The sequence below is a fragment of the Homo sapiens genome, chromosome 5 (genome assembly GCF_000001405.40).
Source record: "Homo sapiens chromosome 5, GRCh38.p14 Primary Assembly".
Classification (NCBI taxonomy): Eukaryota; Metazoa; Chordata; class Mammalia; order Primates; family Hominidae; genus Homo; species Homo sapiens.
The window spans coordinates 119,955,459-119,979,220 of NC_000005.10; the positions used below are offsets into that span (position 1 = coordinate 119,955,459).

Sequence of the window (23,762 nt, forward strand, 5' to 3'; positions counted from 1 at the left end):
AAGTAACACATAGTGGTACCCTGGATAACTTCAGGATGAAGCCTGGCCACAGAAAATCACATGATTAGAGGGAGGGAACTTTGATATAACCCAACCACCAAGGAGGTGGGGAAAGCTGGAGACTGATTTTAATTCTGTGCCCAAAGAATTAATGAACTGCAATAAAAACTCTGGATGCTGAAGCTCAGTGGAGTTTCCTGGTTGATGAGCACATTAATGTGCCAGGAGGAAGACACACCCTGACTTCACGAGTTGAAGGCTGTGGAGTTCTGTGTTTGGAAAGCACTAAGACCTTGTCCCGTGTGCCTCTTCATTTCGCTGCTCTTGAGTTGTATCCTTTATATTAAAAAAAAAAAACAAAAAAACTGTAATTGTAAATAAAGTACTTTCCTGAATTCAGCAAATTAAGTGTGAGTGGGCTCAATATGGGGAAATCCAAATTTGTAGCCAGTTGTTTAGTGGTGTGGATAGCCTGGGAATCACTTGAACTTGTGACTGGTGTCTGAAGTGGGGGCAGTTTTCAGGATTACTGAGCCTGTAAATTGTAGGGTCTATGCTAATTCCAGGACTTTGTGCCAGAACTGAATTTCAGTATACAACTTTGTGTTAAATTAATTTAAGTTGAAACAGAGGATCCCTAAAAGGAAGAAAGATGTATTATTAAATTACCCGTTGGCACTTTTTTTGTTGATAAAGAATGACAACACGCTTACCATACATAGCTATTTTCCAAAGCTTCAAACCAATTAGGAATTATCTTGTAGAACTCCAGTTATTTACTGGTGCATTTTTTGATTACAGGCCTAACCCTCTCTGATATAGCTATGATAATTTTATCTGCACTGTCTGACTCCCTGATAACCATTATGAGTGTACCATCATAGGTTATGTGCGTATATGAACTTGCTGTGATATTTAGTGACCAAGATGGGGTGCCAATGGTAGAAGGTTGGTCCATAATGGGATTGTATGATTGATCCTCTTTACTATCAAGGTGAACAAGAATGCCTAACATGATAGATACAGGCCACACAGTCTACACATACATGTTGGCTGTACTATGGTGACCTCCATGGTTATGTGTTCAAACTCAGTCAAAGTTCAAGAAACCTGAAATAGACTTCTGCTCAAAAGAAACTGCCCCATGTTTAACATCTGAGTCTAAGATGGCTTTTTAACCTATTATCGATTGCTGGAGATCCAGGGAATGACTCATAATCTATGCTCTTCTTTTGTGTTCTCTTTAAGAAAATTCTTTTTTTTTTTATAGGATGGAAACCTCTATAGCGGTTGCTAACTATTATATTTTGAGTGACTTGGCCACTCAAAAATGATAATGTTTTTGCTTAATATTTTATATTTATTATAAAAGATGACGATAGTTTTGGCTTATTTATAGAAGGTTTACAGTTATGTTTCTTTGTTTAATTCAGAGAGGATTCATGAGGATGAAAAGTTTTGAAAGATTTGGAAGAAGAAATTTGAGACATTACTGAGGAATATATAAGAAGCTAGAAGAATAAAAACGGATGTTCTTAATGTTTTACCACTTATCCTTCATGAACTAAATTGGGAATCTGATTTAAAACAAACATCCTCCCATCCCCTTCCCTCGACTCCCCTGAGAAAAGAAACTAAGGGAGGAAATGCAGAGCATTGTATAATCTTAAATGGTTTAAAGACTGCATATTAGTTTGTCCCTTCAGCTGTGTACAAAGCTAACCATAACCTAAAAGTTGTCCCTCCAGGTTGTCACACTGTAACCACTATAATTTTTTTCTGAGACACTGTTTGATGGATATCAGAACTTCTGAGTCATATGACACTTGTTTGTCTTACATTTTTTCAAGAAAACACATTTTTCATCACATTCATGTGAGTCTTGAAATTAGCTGTTTTGTAAGTGTGTTATTGAGAATTCATATCTTACAGGTGCTGACTGGAAAAAAATTTAGTTGAACATTCAGATTCACTATTTGCTCTCTGAGACTACTTAATAGTAAAGTATATTCTAAGTTCTTGTGTACTGCCTCATTGTGTTTTGAGGGCTATGGAATGATCTGGAGCAGGGCTAGAGTTGAGCAAAGGGAATTAAAATACTGAAATCTTACTTGTGTGTCAGATGGTATATAGTCATTATCTCATTTTACCTTAGTAGCTTAGTGCTAGGTGGTCATATCCCCATTTTATACATGAAGGACCTGACTCTGAATAAATAACTTGCCCAGTGTACAGAATTGCAAAACAGAATTCCTGACTCCATATATATGTTGTTTTAATTTATCACATGCTGAAGGCTGCTGCTCCTTCTCATCATCATCCTCCACTTGTTTCTCTCTCTCTTTTTTTTTTTTTTTTTTTTTTGAGATGGAGTCTCGCTCTGTCACCCAGGCTAGAGTGTAGTGGCGTGATCTGGGCTCACTGCAACCTCTGCCTCCCAGGTTCAAGCAATTATCCTGCCTCAGCCTCCTGAGTAGCTGGGACTCCAGGCACGTGCCACCACTCCCAGCTAAATTTTTTTTTTTTTAATTTTAGTAGAGACAGGGTTTCATCATGTTGCCCAGGGTGGTCTCGAACTCCTGAGCTCAGGCAATCCGCCTGCCTCGGCCTCCCAAAGTGCTGGGATTACAGGCGTGAGCCACTGCGCCGAGCCCCTTCACCTGTGTTTTCTTTTACTCCTTCTCTGATTCTTTTTTCTTTTTTTCACTACATATGAAACAATCAAAACCAGCTAATAATGTCTGCTAATCCAAAGAATCAGTAGAGAGAAGAAAAACATACTTGAAATTTCCTAATGTTCCAACTGAAATGAATCACTGGCATGTTTGATTGCTGAGTTTGTACAATATTACTTTGTTTATGCTTCACCAGGCTATTATTAACATTTTTATTACCATACAGAAACTATGTTGAAATGTAATTAGCAATACTGTCACTAATTATCTAATGAGTGGTAATTATTAGTTGGTTGGATTTTCATGCTACATATGATCCAGTGTTCTATTAAAGGCTCTAGCATACAATATTCATGTGATTTTTTTTACATTAATAAAATTTTCATGTATGAGAAAAGTATGCACTTTGAGTTCAACAATTGTGTATTCAGAATAGTAGTAGTTCCGCAGTGGGCTAGTTACTCAACTTTTCTGATCCTCAGTTTCTCCATCTGTAAAACTGGGGAATGATGATAATACCTGTAAAAGATTAAAAAGATAAAATCATGACACACACAAATATAAAATAAACGTGTCAAAGATTTAATTTACTCATTAATTATTGAGGAAACCAGAAAGATATTACAACTTTAAAGGATAATACAAAATACCACACAAATATAGTAATCAGGAGTATTTAAATGAATTTACAATTACAAAGAGTGCTCACCCCTCCCTGCCCTCCAACCCCCAACTCACAAATGGTACGGAAGTCAGTTGTCCCTCTATGGGAAGAATTAATTTGCCTGTCTATGATCAACAATTATTTCTTGAGTTTTTCTTTGTTAAGAGAACGTTTGTTACTGATTTAATCTCGTTACTTGTTATTGGTGTGTTTGGGTTTTCTATTTCATCCTGATTCATTGCTGAATTCTACAAAAATTACAAAGAAGAACTCATGCCAATTATCCTCAATATATTCGAAAATATACAAAAGGAGGAGATTCTTGCTAAGAAGTCATTCTATGAAGCCAGCATTACCCTGATATCAAAACCAGAGAAGGACACCACAAAAAGAAAACTATAAGCCAACATCCATGATAAACATAGATGCAAAGTCCTCAATAAAACAGTAGCAAACTACTCACTTTCAAAGCTTTTTTTTTTTTTTTTTTTTTTTTTGAGACAAAGTGTTGCTCTTGTTGCCCAGGCTGGAGTGCAATGGCGTGATCTCAGCTCACTGCAACCTCCTCCCCACGGGCTCAAGCAATTCTTCTGCCTCAGCCTCCCAGGTGCCCACCACCACACCCGGCTAATTTTTGTATTTTTAGTAGAGTCGCGGTTTCACCATGTTGGCAAGGTTGGTCTCGAACTGCTAACCTCAGGTAATATATCTGCCTCAGCATCCCAAACTGCTGGGATTACAGACGTGAGTCACCGCACCCGGCCTCCACTTTCATCACTCTTATCGAACATAGTACTGAAGTCCTAGCTGAAACAATAAGGCAATAGAAAGAAAAAAAAAAAACAAACCCCAAGCTGGAAATGAAGTAGTCAAATTGTCTATCTTTGCAGGTGATATGATCTTATATTTAGAAAAACCTAAAGACTCCACCATAAAAGCCATAATAAACAATTTCATTAAAGTTTGTAGGATACAAAATCAACATGCAAAAATTAGTAGCCTTTCTATACACCAGCATTAACTAGTGGAAAAATAAATCAAGAAAGTGTTCCCGCCTACAATAGCTACAAAAAAAAAAAATTCTAGAAATAAATTTAACCGAAAAGGTGGAAGACTTTTACAAGAACAACTAGAAAACACTGATGAAAGAAATAAAAGAGGACAAAAAAAAAAAGGAAAACCATCCCATACTATCCAAAGCAATATACAGATTCAATGCAATCCCTATCAAAATACCAATGATATTCTTCAAGAAAGACAAAGTTCTAAAATTTGTTTGGAATCAAAGAGCCTGAATAGCCAAAGCAATCCTAAGCAAAAAGTACAAAACTGGACACATCACACTACCTGACTTTAAAATATACTGTTAAAACAAAGCTATAATAACCAAAATGGCATGATATTGGTATAAAAACAGACACATAGAGCAATGGAGCAGAACAGAGAACATAGAAATAAACCCTTGTATTTACAACCAACCAATTTTGAACAAAGGTGCCAAGAACATATACTGGGGAAAGGATACTTTCTTTAATAAATGGTGCTGGGAAAACTAGAAATCCATGTGCAGGACCTAGGTCACTAGACCTCTATCTCACCATACATAAAAATCAACTCAAATTGGAATAAAGACTTGAACATAAGAGCAAAACTATAAAACTACTAGAAGAAAACATAGGGGAAACCCTCCAGGACATTGGTCTAGGCAAAGATTTTATGGCTGAGACTCACAAAGCATAGGAAACAAAACAAAAAGTAGACAAATGGGGCTACATTAAATAAAGACCTTCTTCACAGCAAAGGAAATAATCAACAGAGTGAATAAACAACCTGCTGAATGAAAGAAAATATTTGCAAAATATCCAGACTATGCAAGGAACTCAACACAAGAGCAAAACACACAAGCAAACAAACAATCTCATTAAAAAGTGGGTAAAGAATCTGAATAGATATTTCTCAAAAGAAACCATGCAAATGGCCAATAGGTATGTAAAAAAATGCTCAACATCATTAATCATCAGTGAAATGAAAATCAAAATAACAACAACATATTACCTTACCCAGTTAGAATGGCTGTTATTAACAAGGCAAAAAATAACAGATACTGGTGAGGAGGAGAAAGGGGAACTGTTACACACTGTTGGTGGAAATGTAAATTAGTACAGCCATTATGGAAAACAGTATGGAGGTTCCTCAAAAAACTAGAAATAGAACTACCATGTTATTCAGGAATCCCACTACTGGGTATTTATTCAAAAGGAAGATTATCAGTATATCAAAGGGATAACTGCACTCATATTGCTGCAGCATATTGCAGCACTAGTCACAAAGCAAAGATATGAAATTAACCCAAGTGGACTTACATGGATGAATAGATAAAGAAAATATCATTAATGGATAAATGGATAAAGAAAATGTAATGTAGTTACACAATGGAATACTATTTAGCCATAAAAAAGAATGAAATCATGTCATTTGCAGCAAAATGGATGAAACTGAAGGTCATTATGTTAAGTGAAACAAGCCAGGCACAGAAAGACAAATATTACATGTTCTCACTCATATATGGAAGCTAAAAAAGATGTTCATATGGGAGTAGGGAGTGGAATGGGGGTTGCCAGAGGCTGGGATAAAGAGAAGTTGGTTAATGGGTACAAATATATAGTTAGATAAAAGCAATAAGTTTTAATGTTCAATAGTACTGTAGGGTGACTATAGTTAAAAACAATGTATTGTTCATTTCAAAATAACAGAAGTGATGACTTGAAATGTTCTCAAACATAGAAATAATAAGTGCTTGTGGTAATGGATACCTTAACATCCTGACTTAATCATTACACATTCTATGCATGTAGTAATATATCATATATACCACATAAATATATGCAAATATTATGTATTGTTAAAAAAACTCAGAAAAATAATTATTTCCATTTTGATCAGTTATTTACAATATACAGAGTAGTAAACAGTTCTGTCAATGAAAGGCATGAATCTGATAGATAATGAGGAAGGGTGTATCCTAGGAAATGCCTAGTTTTTTACTGAGAACTCCCACAAGCCTTTTCTGTTCCATTTCTAAGTCTTTCACAATTTGTCTCTAAATACCTAATTTGAGAGGTTATTGAGAAGATTGTAACAAAATCACAAAATGCTTTTTCATTTTAACTATTATATGTACACACACCCCCCCAAACAGTAGAGTAGATTTGGTCTCTTTTAAAATTCCTCTTGTTATAAATTAATAATTTAAACACCTGAAACAAAAATTTATACCAATTCACCCAGATTACTGATATCAAGATTCAGGCTGATGTATTTAAGTGGTTTGCTGATTGAATGTAAAAGCTTTGGCTAAAGGTAAATGTTGGCATTATGAATCATTCTGTAGAGGAGAGTATAGTAAATAAGCAAAACCAAAATGAGCCATTGCTTTGTTTGCCAAGCAGTCACAAAAATGTTGAAAGGCTCATTAGATTTTTACACTCTATCTTTTGCATGAACAAACTGACAACAGATTTATCAGACTTATCGTACTTTTTAATCATCAAGAATTGTATTCCTTTTGACTATGAATTGGAGCAGTAAAAGAGAAGCAGAAATGCCTCAAAATGAAGGCTTACCCTTCACTGATCAAGAACCCAGAAGATAACAGGTGTGGCACAGCTATCACACTAAGTCTGTCCCCTGCCAAAAAAAGGACTTGGAATAGATGGAGAACTGAGAATGGAGTCCAGTGAGCAAAATAAAGGGTCTGGCCTAAGTGTAACTATGAGGAATACAGGGTTCGATTTAATTATTCAATTATAATTTAGGTTGGATAGACTCTGTTTAACCTTCCAACCCCCCGATTGATTCTCTGCTCTTCTCTGCCCTTGGAGAGCCTGTCCATGGAGGATGATTCCCATGGACTCCAGCACCTTGGCTGTACAGTTCTTTGCCCTCTAGCTTTCTGTTGGCTTTAGTCAGTTGAAAATAGAAATATTTCTCCCCTTCCCTTTGAGTACTGTAGTTCTGCAACCCTTTATGACCACCAGGTTGGCTAGAATTGTCTTCCCCTTGCTTACCTCTACATATCCTGTTGTAATGATGGCTTCTGATTGTTGACAGTCCTGGGTCTTATTGGTCCCTACACCTCTGAAAATAGCCCCAACATTAAATTCTCTTCATATCCTTAGCTGAGTTTTTTCTGTTTGTTCTCAGGACCCGGATGAATCTCGAAAGAATAACAACAAACTGTTGAGAAATAACTACTCTTGACAGTTATATAGCTTATATATTAATCATTTAATCTTTAAATATTGCCATTATTATTTAACAGAAAAGGAAATTGAGGCACAGAGAACTTCGATGACTCACTTGAAGCAAATCTGACTAAAAAAAGCCATGTTGTTACTGAGCATGCTGTATTTTGTAAAAAGTTTCAGACAACCTTTTTAAAGCACAGTTTCTTTTTTTTGCATGATGTGTTTTTCTCTTCTAAACAGGCCTGCACTCCTATTTTAAATTATTTTATATTTTTTGAATGGGGGTCAAGTGTGGGCTGTCCTACCTGTCTTTAATTGCATAAATCATCTCATTTTGTTCTACTTATAATGCTTCAAGTTACAGAACTCATAACATTATCACATTTATTACTAGCTAAGAAAGCATTAATCATAGATGGTCATAAAAGCTAGAGAAATTAACCATAAAGTTTGCTGAAAATTGCATTAATCATATGGAATCTAGAAAATGTCAGATTACAAAAATGCTGCTTTCTTGTTAATACAAGTAGAAAAAATTGTGGGAGAGAAAAAGAGATCAAACAAAATTAATGTTATTCTTTAAAACTAGTCTACCCAATTACATTGCACAGATATATGGACTAGGCTCTGTTGTAGGCAATTTATATATGCTATCTTTTTTTTTTTTTCATTTTTGATTTTTTTTTTTTTTTTTTACTTTTCTTTTTTTTTTTATTATACTTTAAGTTTTTAGGGTACATGTGCACATTGTGCAGGTTAGTTACATATGTATACATGTGCCATGCTGGTGCGCTGCACCCACTAACTCGTCATCTAGCATTAGGTATATCTCCCAATGCTATCCCTCCCCCCTCCCCCCACCCCACCACAGTCCCCAGAGTGTGATATTCCCCTTCCTGTGTCCATGTGATCTCATTGTTCAATTCCCACCTATGAGCTATCTTTTTTAACCTTCCCAATGACCCTGCAAGTTATACACAACCATCCATTTCTCATATATGGAAACCGAGATCTCCTAACATTTTCAAGATCACATAGCTATTAAGAAGCAGAGCTGGAATTTTGACAATGTCTGATACTGAAATCCTATTGCGCCTCATTTAAGAAAAATAAATTATCACAAAACTTTGATTTGTAGGTTGGTTAGGTTACATTTCAATTCTTAGTGCTAATATTTGACTTCACTTGAACTATTTGTCCCTTAGGCATAGGCCAGTCCTAGTCAACATCCTTTTGTGGCCTTTGGAGTTGAGGACTCTGCTTCAGAGAAGGCTTATAAAAACTAGCAGTATTGTGTATCAGTAGGAGGTATGCAGTTTTACAGGCCTAAATTTATGAACTATTTGTAGGTCCTTTCAACATTAATATAAAGAGACCTGTGCTTATGACTAAAAATATAAAACACAATGGCTTTAAATGCAGACCTATATTTGTTATGTAGAACCTCATATGTTCTTTCATTTTGATTGTTTTGAAGTATAAAGCTTGCTGGTGGCAATTTACCCCAGTGTGACTATCGGGAGCAGTGAAATCTGCTGGAGAGAAGCCACATGTACATTTTTCTCAGTAAAATGTAAGTGAATTATAGTGCATTTCATTAGATTTTCTTTTATATTTTCATTTCATAATTAAAAACATACCCTTGTATGTACTATAAAGATTCCGTGCTTCATATTTTGAAAAGAATTTTCTAAAGCTAACCCCACTTTCATGACCACTAACAAATGGCCAAAGAAGTGCCTTTAGGGAGAAAATTTGCTAGAGCAGAGGATAATTCGTGGTCTTTATTTTGAAGTAATGTATGATAAGACTGAAAGGTTCTAGATTATGTGGTGTTTCTCTTCTTAACTTTCTGGCTGCTCCTTATTTATGTTCTTATTTTGATTTCATCATGTTCTGTTGACTTCACATCTGGATGATTTCTAAAATTCTGTTCTTGGCTTTTTGCTCTTCTTTTTCCACTTCTTTCTTCATGTTTTTATCATGTCACCAAGTATACATCAAAACTGAGTTCTAGGTCTCATTTTTAAATTCCTGCTACAAGTAGAGACATCTCTTCCATAAGTACATCCAAAATGCCACACTACCTTCCCCCTCTCCAGCTGTCCTTCTATTCTGACTGTTTTGCCACTCAAACATCCTGTTTTACCTCAGGCACTCAGACCTGAGAACTTGGAATCCAGCTTAATCCTTGCCTTTAATTCTCTCTCCCATATGGTTATTCACAGAGTCCTATAAGTTATTCATTACTCTAGATTGGTTTCTGCCTTTCCCTCTTCTCTGCTTCTATTCTAATTTAGGGATCTGCAACCTTGTAGTTATATAGGAAGACTTTTTTTTCTTATTTTGCATATCATTTAGGACTAGAAACCCTAATTAGGATCATAAATAAATAACCTATTGTAGCTCTTGCATGGTCTTTGTACATCTACTCTCTCTAATCTCAACTCCCTTATTTGTGCTCTCTTAACATTTTATGAATAATCCCTTCTAGCAGTTGCCACATATTTTGTAGTGGTAGAAATAGGGGTGACAAGGTGGGTTGGGGAGCCCTTTAAACTCTCCTACCCATCACAGTGAGCTCTTCAAAGTCAGGGTCATGTCTCACTCATTGTTGCTTCTCCAGTGTCAAGCATGGTGCCTGGCATATAATAGAGGACTAAGAAAAGTTGAATTGAATCTACAAATGTGAAATCAGATTTAATTTATCTAAGAGAAATAGTATCTCCCAGAAAAACTGGTGAGGCTTTTTGGGCTATTTCCTTGTGTTCAACCCACAGGAAACCACCAAGGGCGAAAAGGTGGTAGAGTCTAGGTTGGGGAGAGACTTTGATGCTAGGCTGAATAATTTAGCACTGATATTTTTAGAGATCGCATTTTAGAGGGATTAATTAGGTAGTGCTCTATTATATGTCCTAGAAGAAAAAAGACTTTATGAAGATAGTAGAAGTATTGAAGTGATTCTGGTGTAAGGTTACTAGAGTCTGGAGTTTGGTAATGGAAGAGAAAATAGAGACGTGTTGGGAAAAGGAGGTTGAGTCAAGGGAAGAAAACGTTTAAAATATGAAAAATAAAAGTTGACTGTAAGATTTGAGGCAGAAGAAATCAGACATAGGAAATTAGAATTGTCTTTGGGATTTATTCTGAGCCACGCCACTATGACTGCAGATGGAGCTATTCCCAGTAAAGTGTAAGGATGGACTTTTGGAACTTTTTCAGCTATCTAGGATCTGATGCACATGAGTTGTAATCCTTAAGAGAGGGTTGGGGACTGAATTTACTTTGGAATACTTTTCATCATAATTCCTTTTCTTCAGCTGTTTTCATTCCCTCAGAAGAATAGGATAACTTACATTTCAGCACTTATTTTATTTTTTTTCCCAAATGCCAATGTCGTTTGAGAAAACAAAACAAAGCAAAAAACCCAAAAATCTTCCGTGTAAATTCTGTCCTCAGAGCAGTTAGAAGATAATATGTTGTGATATTTTAGGCATTAAGTAATTTGTTGATTTTGTCCAAGTTCCATTGATGATTTTACTTAAAATTCTTCAAGAAATTTTTTCTAAGAATCTTTGTCCTTACAGAGTCTCCAGGAGCAAAAAGTTCTTAAAAGGATGATTGTATGCAATTCCAGAGAGTGAGTTGGAGGGATTCACTCTTCAAGGTGTTATATAACTTTAAAGGATTTGTTTAAAAAATAGTTTAAGTCCTGTGCCATGAGCAAAATGGGGTCAGAATATATTATTCACTCTGCAGCTTGGATTTCAGAGAAAATGCAATTATGCATTTTTGCAATTTTCTTTTTAACAAATCTAGTATTCCTCTTGGTGCTCATTTGTTGGGGTTGGGGAAGAGAAAGCAGTGAAATAATTAAGTATAAAATTCAGTGTAAAGCACGTATGATGTGGCCATGTAAACTGGTTGGGTAATGCTTTGTACTCAGATTGCTATCCTTATTGCTCACTACTCTCCCTAAGACAGTATTGCTTTTATGGGAGAGGAAAGGGTACAGCATACAATATTTTATCATGCAGAGAAAGATACGCTATTTTTGAAGTAATTTTTACTTGTTCCTGGTCCTTGTCCACCGTGCAGGGCCAGCTTCATGAACATGCAGTTGTCTAGGGCCCCATGATAGAAAGGTTTTATGCTTGATTTCATGCTCTGCTGTTGCTAATTTGAACTTCATAATAATTTTACATTCGGATCTGTGTTTTGTAAGTGAATTCTGATGGGATGATGGTGCATGTGTGTAAGCAAATGTGTGTAAGCATCACACAATATGCATGTCTGCACTGTTCCTTCTTGCCTTATTCACATATAGCAACTGCAGTGCTCCATAAGCACACAATTCCAGTGGACCCAAATATAGTTTTGTACACTGTGTAATAATTTGCCACAAACTGAGTGGTTTAAAACAACACACATTCATTACTAACACTTTCTGTAGGACAGGAATTTGGGTACTGCTTAACTGGATCCTCTGCTTAAGGGTTCATAAGGCTGTATTCAAAGTTGGCTGGGCTGCATTCTCATTGGGAGGCTTAGAGAGGGAACGATCTGCTTTCAACCTCCCTCATGTTGTTGGTAGAATTCATTTCCTTATGTCAGTAGAGTTCATGGCAGCTTGCTTCTTCAAAGTTTTAAAACAATAGTTTGATGGTGGGAGGGAAAAAGGAGGAGTGTAGGGAGATGGAGAGAGAGTGTCTCTGCTGTTGCTTGGAGTTTCTGATCTGTAGTCTCTCTTTTAAAGGGTTCATCTGATTATATAGGGCCCACCTAGGATACTCAATCTGTTTATTAACTTCAACCAACTGAGTTGGGACCTTAATTACATTTGCAAAGTCCCTTCACCTTTGCCATATAACATAATATAATCATGGGAGTAATATCCCATCACATTCACACAGCCCACTGCATTTAAGTGAGGGAATTGGACAAGGTATGCACAACAAGGGGAAGAACACTTGGGGCCATCTAAGCATTCTATCACAGTCATTAATATGTGGAGGTTCAGTAAGACTCAAAGGAGTACACAGTAAGCATGTTACATCTACCAATGAGAAAGTGGGGATGTGAACATCCCTAAAGGCCATGCTTTCTGTTTCAAACATAATTTGCTTTGAATGTAGAAATATGTAAATGACCACTAAGAAACACAAATGACCAGAGGACCCTATCATGTCCTTTTGTACCTCCCTGCATTACCCAACCACTTACACTAAAAAATGATGACAGAGAAGGAAAAGGAAATAGTGCAACCCGTAATTCCTTTTCTTGTTAGTCCTTCTTACTCATCAATAAGGCAAAGTTAAAGACTATCAGTAGATCTTGCATACATCAAGAAGTGAAATAAAAGCAGTTGTGTTAGTTTTCTGCAGACTTTCCACTCTTCTGGTAAGACTATAATATATATTCAAATATGAGCTGCAAAAAGTGAAGCCTGAAATTTTGTTAATTCCATGCATGAGTTAAATGCTCTTATATTTGCATTTAAGACTGGTATTGAACAATATAAAGATGAATGGTAAATTTTTACTAATAATTTAAATGTACTTAGAATGACATTACATAGCAAATGAAAACACCATAACAAATTGAGACAGAGAGACTGTGGAAGGAAGGAATGGCTTTACATTTTAATACTTTTAATGTCACTTCTTTCTGTACTGTGGGACCCACATTTTCATTTTTCACTGAGTCTTTTAGATTATATAGCCTGTTCTGCACTTGGATGTTGCTTGTTGGGAGCTCTGCTAGCCTCCAGAAACATCTGTGACTTGTAGAGTTTTGGTCTATTTTTTTTTTCCTTGAGTCGTATTCTCAGTGGGATTCCCTGGCTGATTTGGCTTTCACTCTGATTATTCTGGTTCTATAGACTCTCCTGAGATTGGGCTGTTATTTTTCTCAGAGCTCAGAGATCCCTCTCCGTATTTAGTGTTATCATTTATCCAACCATTCCAACTTCTGAGTTTCTTTTTCTATCTCATTTATTTATTTATTTATGTGTTCTTGGACCAGTATTACATGGGTTCTCATCTATGGCTTTGTAGTATTTCTTAATGTATGGTAAGTTAAGTATTATTTGCATTTCACGGTTGACATTGCTATTTCTGAACTTCTTTTTCCAGCATATATTTTAGAGAATATGTAAATTTCCTTACCAAACATTCACAGAAGAATTAATACCAATTCTTCTTAAACTTTTCCAAAAATCAAAGTGGATGGCTTACTTTGAAACTTATTTTATGAGGCCAACATCACCCTGATACCAAAGCCAGAAAGATACCACAAGAAAAGATGGTCCAATTTCTCTGATGAAAATACTAGCAAACCAAGTTCAACAACACGTCAGGAAGATTGTATAGCATGATCAAGTGTAGTTTATTTCTGGGATGCAAGATTGGCTTTACCTATGCAAATTAATCACTGTGATATATCATAATAACAGAATGAAAGATAAAAATCACATAAAAAAAGCATTTGATAAAGTTCAATGTTCTTTCATGGTAAAACCTCTCCATAAAATGGGTAGAGAAGAAAATTTCCCCATCAAAATAGAGAGCATTGATGAAAAGCCCACAGCTAACATCATAATCAATGGGAAACTATTGAAAGTTTTTTCTCTAAGATCTGGCACAAGGCAAGAATGTCTGATCTCATCACTTATTCAACATCCCTGGAATTACTAGCAAGAGCAATTAGACAAGAAAAAGAAAAAAAGGCATCCAAATCAAGAATGAAGAAGTAAAATTATCTCTATTAGAAGACGACAGGATTCTACATGCAAAAGCTCTAAAGATTTCACAAAAATACTGTTAGCTATAATAAATAAATTTAGTAAAGTAGAAGAATACAAAATTAACACAGAAAAATCAGTTGCATTTCTTTACATCAATAGCAATCTATCCAAAAAAGAAATAAAGAAGATAAGCCTAGTTACAATAGCATTGAAAATAATAAGTAGAAATCAATTTAACCAGGAAAGTGAAAGATCTGTACAATAAAATTATAAAAGATTGACAAGAATAATTGAAGAAGAGAAATAAATGGAAAGATATCCTGTGTTCACAGATTGGAAAAATTAATATTGTTAAAATGTCCATACTCCCCAAAGTAGTGCACAGATTTAATGTGATTCCTATCAAAGTCCCAATAGTATTTTTTTTACAGAAATTAACTAAATCTTAAAATTTATATGAGACAATAAAAGACCCTGGGTAGCCAAATCAATCTTGAACAAGAACAGTTAGAGGCATTATACTTCCTGATTTCAAAATATATTACAAATGTATAGTACTCAAAAGAGTATGATACTGTCATAAAAATAAACATTTAAACTAATGGAACAGAATAAGGAGCCGAGAAAAAAATCCATTTTTCTACAACTAACTGTTCTTCAAATAGGGTGCCCAAAACACACAATGGTGAAAAGATAGTCTTTTTCATAAATGATACTGAGAAAACTGTATACCCACATGCAGAAGAACGAAATTGAACCCTCATCTAACATGATACACAAAAATATTAATTCAAAATGGATGAAAGACTTAAATGTAAGACATGAAACGTAAAACTTCTAGAAGAAAACAGAAAAGAAAAGCCCCATGACATTTGTCTGGGCAATGATTTTTTTGGATATGACCCGAAATGTACAGGCAGCAAAAACCAAAAGTAAACTAGTGGAATTGTATTGTACTATAAAGCCTCTGCATAGAAAATGAAATAATCTAGAGTGAAAAGACAATCTATAGAAAGGGAGAAAATATTTGGAAACGATGTATCCAATAAGGGGTTAATGTGTTAGTCTGTTCATGCTGCTAATAAAGACATACCCGAGACTTGGTAATTTATAAAGAAAAAGAGGTTTAATGGACTCATGGTTCCACATGGCTGGGGAGGCCTCACTATCATGGCGGAAGGCAAAAGGCGTATCTTACATGGCAGCAGGCAAAACAGAATGAGAACCAAGCAAAAGCAGAAACCCCTTATAAAAACGTCAGATCTTGTGAGTCTCATTCGCTATCACAAGAAATGTATTGGGGAAACTGCTCCCATGATTCAGTTATCTCCTACTGGGTCCCTTTCACCACATGTGGGAATTATGGGAGCTACAATTCAAGATGAGTTTTGGTTGGGAACACAGCCAACCCATATCAGTTAATATACAAAATACATAAGAAACTCAAGCAATTTAACAACAACAACAACAACAACAACAACAACAACAACAAAAACAAATAGGCCAGGCCCAGTGGCTCATGCCTGTAATCCCAGCGCTTTGGGAGGCCAAGGTGGGAGGATCACTTGACAGGAGTTTGAGACCAGCCTGGCCAACATGGCGAAACCCCATCTCTACTAAAAGTACAAAAATTAGCCAGGCATGGTGGTGGGTGCCTGTAATCCCAGCTACTCAGGAGGCTGAGGCAGGAGAATCACTTGAACCTGGGAGGTGGAGGTTGCAGTGAGCCGAGATTGCGCCACTGCACTCCAGTCTGGGTGACAAGAGCGAGACTCCATCTTAAAAAAAGAAAATCCAAATAACTCAATTAAAAAATGGTCAAAAGACTTCAGTAGACATTTTTCCAAAGAAGACATAGAAATGACAAATAGGTATATGAAAAGGTGCTCAACATCACTAATCATCAGGGAAATGCAAATTAAATAAAACCGTAGTGAGATACTGCCTCACACCTGTTAGAATAGCTACTATCAAAAAGACAAGAGATAAAAAGTTTTGGTGAGGGTGTGCAGTAAAGGGTACTCTTGTACACTTTTGGTGGGTGGGAATGTAAACTGGTATAGCCATTATGACAAACAGTGTGAAGGTTCCTTGAACAACTAAAAATAACACTGCCATAAGACCCAGCAATACCTCTGCTGGCTATATACCCTAAGGAAATGAAATTAGCACCTTGTAGAGATAGCTGAGTTCCCATGTTTACTGTAGCATTATTACAACAGCCAAGATATGAAAAGAACCTGTGTTCATAGATGAATGAATGCATAAAGAAATTGTGGTATATATGTACGATGGAACAATATTCAGAGTTAAAAAGGGAGATAGTGCAATTTGTGGCACATGGATGGACATGGAGGATATTATGCTAGGTGGAATAAGCTACACAGAAGAAGGCAAATACTGCATGATTTTAGTGAAATTTTAGGGAAAAAAAGTCAAATACTGTATGTAGAAACAAAGAGTATGACAGTGATTACCAGGGGCATGGAGGGGGAAGAAATGGGGAGATGTAGGTGAAGTTATATAAGATGAATAAGCCTAGAGATCTCATGTACAGCATGGGAACTGTAGTTAATAATATTATATACTAAAAATTTGCTAAAATGGTAGATTTTAGGACTTCTTACCTACCTACCCCCCACAAGTAAGGTAACTATATAAAGTGATAGATATGTTTATTTGCTTGACTGTGGTAATAATTTCACTATGTGCATATGTAGCAAAACATCATGTTGTATAACTTACATATATATAACAAAAAAGTTTCTAAAATACTCATTTAAAACCTTTACTGGAATTTTATAAAATTAACATATTAATTTGGAGTTAATTAAATCTTCAAAAGAGCATGGGATATTTTCCCATTTATTGTAATTATTTTCTCACTTGAATACTTTTCTGTGAATACTTTTCAAAGTATTGCTATTTCTATATATTAGGGTTTGGGTTTTTTGGTGAGGATGGTGAATCTAAAGACCAATGGAAAAATTTTATTCTCTTTAGTTAGTAGCCTTCATGTAAAAATTGCTCTCAATATATGAACTTTTCTAGATTGCAAAAACCTTTTGTTTACTCAAGTCATATAAGTTAAAGAGACTAAATTAGGGTTGTGTGTAAAATTACTGGTTATACCAGAATTACTATATTATTATTTAGTTGAAATGGCAGAGACAGAATAATATTCTTGACGTCTTATAATAGAATTAAGAATATATGTGATTTTATTTTTTAAATATAGATTTTATTGACATGAGTAAAATGACTCAGAATGATTATTTTTTTGAAGATAGGTATACGCATCTATTCGAGACATGATAGAACTTCTAAATATATTTTGTTAATATTTTGGGAATAAACATATTTATTCTCTGGTTTATACTGAATTTCTCAGGCTAAAACTTTATCTTTGATACAGATTTTATTGATGCAATTAACAGTTTCTGTTATATCAAGGCATTTGAAAATTGGTAGCTATTTAAGAGTAGAAACTTAAACATGAACTTTACTCATTATATGACATTTTTCTTTTTAAGAAATTAATAGACAAGGGAAGGATAAAAAACTGTAGTATCATCTTCAGAATTAAATGATTTGAAGAGCTGATTAATGTAGCTATTACACGTTCTTGTATAAGAAATATTTTTAGACTTCATCATATGTCAAAATAGGGAGATGCTGGTCTTTAATCATCTACTACACATTTTGGCTGCCATAGCGGCAAGAAATGAACTGTTATCGGTTAGTGTGATAGACCAGCGTTATCTCAAAATACATTTTTTAAATGTGAATTAGAAGTAGTAGATGGTGTAGTTTCTACTTTTGTACAGTCAAACTTCTAAAAGTGTTTTGTGAATTTTTTTGGTATGAGATCAATGTCTTTAATTTCTGTTGCCTTGAAGAAACCTTTCATTAGTGTCTGCAATTTATTTTTATTCTTCGTCCAAGACCTTGGGATGTAGTCGTCACTGGACAATAACAATGATCAAACATGAATGTCATTGTATTGCGTTAACCTAATTCTCTCTCTTTTTTCCATCTATTCACCTTACCTACGTTCCTTAAATTTTTGATTTGATTTTCAGCCACAAAATTATAGATTTGAGGTTTAAGATAAAGCAAGACATTGGGATTAAATGAAGAATTCTTCAGATTTTTCAGTTTTATAATGTGTGCTGGAGAATTATCAAGCCCACGAAGAACTGTGCACAATATTCTGTTCCAATGATCCCTCTCAAGCTATGGGTTTCTTTACCTTCATTCCATAATTGAAAGTATTTCCTGGAAGACCCTTTAGGATTGAGGCATGCTCAGGAAATTTCTGCATTAGGTCCATATTGTGTTCACAGATTTGCTATGGTGCTCATAAAATCCCACGGAATGAATGGGACTTGTCAATTCTGTATAATGGGGTGTGTCAATTCTGGATAGCTTTGTGGGTTTCAAGATGCTTTTGGAGGGTTTTTGCTTACATGGAGTTGGCCATTTTCTTAAATGGTAAATAATTTGTGGTATATGTGGTCAGATCTGTTTTTTCTCCACCTCACCTCTTTAAGTTCATATTGGGTAATTTGACCTGTAACTTAGTAATAATGCTCTACTTTTCTGTTACCCTTGAGGATTTATAATGGCATTCATGAAATAGTTTTCTGTTTCTACTTTATCATCATTCACTCAGGAAAAAATTAAAACCCTCTTTTGTTAAAATAGTTAAAGAGCAAACAAGCAAACAAACAAACAATAAACCATTCTTCATTCTATATCCAATGCACATGCATTGGATAACATATAGAATAAGAAGCACTGTGCTAGTATGAGAATGATATAAGGCACAGTTCCTGACCATTCGCAGTTTAAAAGAAACGTTAGGAAATTTTTTCTTTGATTTTTATTTAAATTTTATTATAAGTTATTTAACTTTTGTGACATAATAACATAGTCCATCATGAGAATACAACATATTTCCCAAGTATTAGGTTAAATTGGAGAACATTACAGAATTTGAAGATGTTGTTTGGACTTTGGCATGCTCATTAGTTTGAACCTAAGATAGAATGTGAGTTATGTTGTATTTCCTGGCCAGCAGTTTTAAAAATATTTTAAATTGAACATCTTTGGTTGAGGAATGCAGTCTCCGGTTTTGCAGGCTTTACCACTTCCAGCTCTCTTGTGCACTTCCTGGCTTTTAATTCCTGCCTTGTCCTGTAGCATTTGAGGTTGTTACTCCAGTTTACACTAAAAATGTCAATGAAAATTACAGAGTTATAGAATTTTCTGCTTAAAAGTTATCAATGACCTTGTCATTGTAAAGTAAATTAGTAGTGAATGGAGCAATTATATTCTTCAAGGCTAATGCAATCAGATGTATCAGTATAGCTCTACCAGCAGGTTATGCAATGCTCATTCTGATTAGACATTGCATTCATTCTGATGGTTGGTGCCCATGCTGCCTCTACAGTTGTTACATATTTTGAATATCAACACTGATTAACGTAATTCCCAGCATGGAGTTTTGTGTGTGTGTGTGTGTATGTGTGTGGTGTGGTGTGTGTTTTTCATTTTCATCTATTGCAAGCACCTTGCCCATGACGTTTTCTATGACACAGAGCCCTTCAACATCAGTAGGCTCCTTGTTTAACTTTGACTGCTTCCTGCACTAACAAATGACTTTTTGTTCAAGGATGACAAGAGATCAATTAAGGAGAAAGAAGAATGTTAATCCAACATGGAAAAGGCCCACCCTAATTGAAGAATGGTGAACAGGATTCTGGTCAATGAATTATAGCCTCATTTTAAAATTCACTCATCCATTTGATAATTAATTATAATGGCATCTTACATAATCATCAGAGGCTTTCTCTGAAAAATACATGGAGGTAAATGAACCTTTACTTCAAGCTTGACATCTATCTTTGACTCACTGTTGAAGAACACATTATAAGGAAAGCAACAGACAGGATGCCTGATCATTCAAGTTTGGTGAAGAAGCCAGAAAGATTAATAACACTGCTGTGTAATGAAATAATATCAAAACATGAAACACTGAGAAGAGCTCTTTAATCCTGTGGATTTAGAAATATTTCATTTTCATTTTTGTGATTAGACAAATATTCTCATCTGAGTATGATTTCTAACTTTAGTAAAAGTAGAGGGAATGGATTAATAGAATTTTTTGTTACCAGAATAAATTTGTTGTTCGAGTTACTGCTTCACTTGGTTAAAGTTCATGAATAAATTGTGACAATGGAGGATTTCACTCTCAGAATGTAAAGTTGACCCATAAATGGGAGTCAGGAGCTGATCCAAGGGAGTATCCAGACAAGCTTAACCATCTATAGGAATAGTTATTGCGTCCTTTGAAGTCAGTCCCCATTGCTTACAGAGCTTCATGTACTAATAGAAGCTCCCTGGGGCATACAGGACTCTTTGTGGTTACTTATCATTAGTTAGACTCAGGGAACTAAAATACTGCAGACCTCCCTAAGATGTGCTACCAAAAATTAAGTCGTAGTCCTAATAAGGAGTTTAGAGGGTGCTCCAAATATTCTAATCATGGCAGCTTCCTCTTTCAACCTCCCTAAAGAAAACTGTTTAGGCAAACTGAAGCACTCACTTTTCTCAGTATTTGAATAAGACTCTTTCTTATTGGATTATGGATGTTAATATCCAGAATTCAAAATGGGAACATCCAGTTTGCTACTTTTCCTGTAGTAATGAATCTGTTTCAAGCAGAGGCCAATGGTCTTCATCTAGGAGTCATGGGAATAGCTCTGATAGTGAGCAATTTCACTGGACTGGACCTGTCGTAGTGGGTCATGGTCCTAACATTCATTCAAATATGGGAGAGTTGTGTTGGATCTCCAGCAAGCTCCAGACCAGCAGGATGGGCCCTTTGGTGCAGTTCCTCTCCTCTCACAGGTTTTGATCTTCTTGGACTATCTTTTTTCTACTTCAGTCACCAGAAGTGGGAAATTTATTTTTTATCAGCTCATTAACTTCTGACTCCTTAGCAAGATAAAATACAGTCACACTTGAAATAAACACATTTTTATTGTCAGCAATTGTTGACAAATACAAGCTTATGCTTGTTTTCTTAAAACAATATATTCAATGCTAAAATCAACTTGACAACTGAAAACTCCCATCTCTTCTTTCCCTAAGGCAAGATATTTGCAAACAAACATTTGTTACATAAATGTACTTGACAACTAGCAACTCCCATTTCCTCTGTTCTGAAAGCAAAGCACAATAATCACAACAAAAGTTGTCAAGAAAATCCCCATACATTCATTTGAGGTCTAAGCATTGCCTTGCATGCTAGAGGCAGATTGGATCAGCAGAATAAGGGAAGAAGGAAATGGGTGCAAAGGACTGGGGTTTTTCTGTTCTTTGAAATATTAAAAAAATTCTTGACAACCCGGAATTATCCTTTGATCATTTATTTTTCTTTGTAGTTCTTTCCTTGTAACATTAATTATCTTTGCTGCTGCCTGTGTCTCTTACCTTTTTAATGTGATATCTTAATATTTAGTGTTGAGATAGGCTTTTGGAGAGATGGTTCCAAGCTTCAGCTATAAAATTATCATTCAAAGTATAGTGAATCATGTGGTTAAATCCCAAGGCATTAAATAGAAAATGGATTAATGATATAAAAGAAACCAAAAGATGAAAAACCTGACCAATGGCTTTTATTGACAATAAATATGAATGATTTCCTTTATTTTATTCTTTACTTAAAAAGATCATAATTATTTAAAATATAGACATATATATTTAAGATAGATATATTTATGAACCTAGTAATTTAAGAGAGATATACAGACTTATACTGTATAGTGAAGTACAAGTAAAAAACTCATGTAGTCCAAATCTGGGACTTCTAAAATGTGTTAAAATGTTGGTTCCTCTTTTGCAGAGTTTTGTGCTATCATCACCAGAGCCAGCAATTCAACCTAAATTCTGAGTGTAATGGAAGCCGTTAATCACTATCAAGTTCATCATTTTTTTTTCATGGCAAGTAATATTCATATCAGTGATTGCTATTCCACTAAGAAATTCTAAATGTTTCATAAAAATGAAACACCACATAATAAGAGACTAAATCATATGAAACAAAATTTTGACTTTTGAATGTATCACTCAAGGCCAATGGATGATAATTTCTCTTTATGATTCTACAGGTAGCTCATTTATTTCTTTTCTCATATATTTGACTTATTATAGGGCCCTGCAGCCCTTTCTGAGCATCATTAACTATATTTGTCGAATCATTAATCTAAAAATTAAAAGCTATTTAATACTTTTGTTTCATCTGCTTAACTAATTACACAGAAATAAACCAATTTTTCTATTACTTTTCTCGGTGCCTTCTGCATTTATACAGCCTTAATGCATTGTGCATATGTATAGGTCTTTCTCTTAACCCAAACCCCTGCTGTTGTTCTTTCTGCACACATGTTAATGACTCATGATCACTATGACCTCACTAATCTTTTACATCTTCTACTCTAATGACCTTGATCAATTCATTCACTATACAGAGCTTGTTGTCATTTGGCTTTGACTTACCAAACTTCAAAGTTTCATCCCTGACTACTCTTCTATTCTCATTTTCTTCCTCTTCTTCCTTAAGTGCATGATGACATCATTTCCTCCACCTCTCTGAATATTTTCAAGATATTTCTTTCCATCATTGCTTGCTCCTCTCTATATATTCCGAACCCAGTGGGCAGATACTCTACAGTTATGCTCATTAATCATAAAAATCACAAATATATAGTTTCAGCTTAAACATCTCTCCTGGGCCACAAACATATTTTTCCAGCATGTTTTCTCAAATACACTTCCAAATAAAAATCCTTAATACATCTTCCCCATCTTGTGTTCTTTATTCTACTTAAAGCCATTCAGAATACAAATCTTGTCATCTCTATTTCTCTCCTTTCTCATAATTTTATTCAATCATCAAGACTTGCTATCTCACTTTCTATGACTATATCAAGCTTATATCCTTATTAAAAAAACATCCTACAGCATTGCCTAGTTAAGTACCTCACAATCTCTCACCTGAAAAATTGCAACAGCTTTTTAGAATAGTCTCCTTTTTTCCCTTTTCTCCCTACTGTAGTGAATCTCTCCAGTCCGATTTTATCCTTTCTGTGTTTAAAATCCTTTATTAATTCCATACTGCATGCAGAATGTTGTCTAAACTTTGACTCTAACATTAAAGCACATTGACTATAAATCCTACTCCATTTTCCAGAGTTTTTATCTCAATTTTTCTACTCCTAAAGTTTACATTCTAGTCAAACCAAACTACTTTTCCCTTTTTCTGTCTTTCATTAAAATAAATTATCATGATAGTATAACTTTGAAAAGCTTTGGAGTTTTATTTTATCTTATTTTAGATTCAGGGAGTACATGTGCAGTTTTGTCAC

At 35.1% G+C, this 23,762-nt stretch overlaps 1 long non-coding RNA gene across 2 annotated transcripts in view; it reads left to right on the forward strand.

The window, feature by feature from the left end:
* The window catches only part of LOC105379144 (uncharacterized), a 142,695-nt gene extending 120,198 nt beyond the window's left edge, over nt 1-22,497 (forward strand). For both annotated transcript variants that reach the window (XR_948706.2, XR_948707.2), the window contains exons 2-3: nt 9,064-9,159; nt 22,241-22,497. This is a non-coding gene — a long non-coding RNA (uncharacterized LOC105379144). The remainder of the gene's footprint in view (nt 1-9,063; nt 9,160-22,240) is intronic.
* The last annotated feature ends 1,265 nt before the right edge of the window (nt 22,498-23,762 follow it).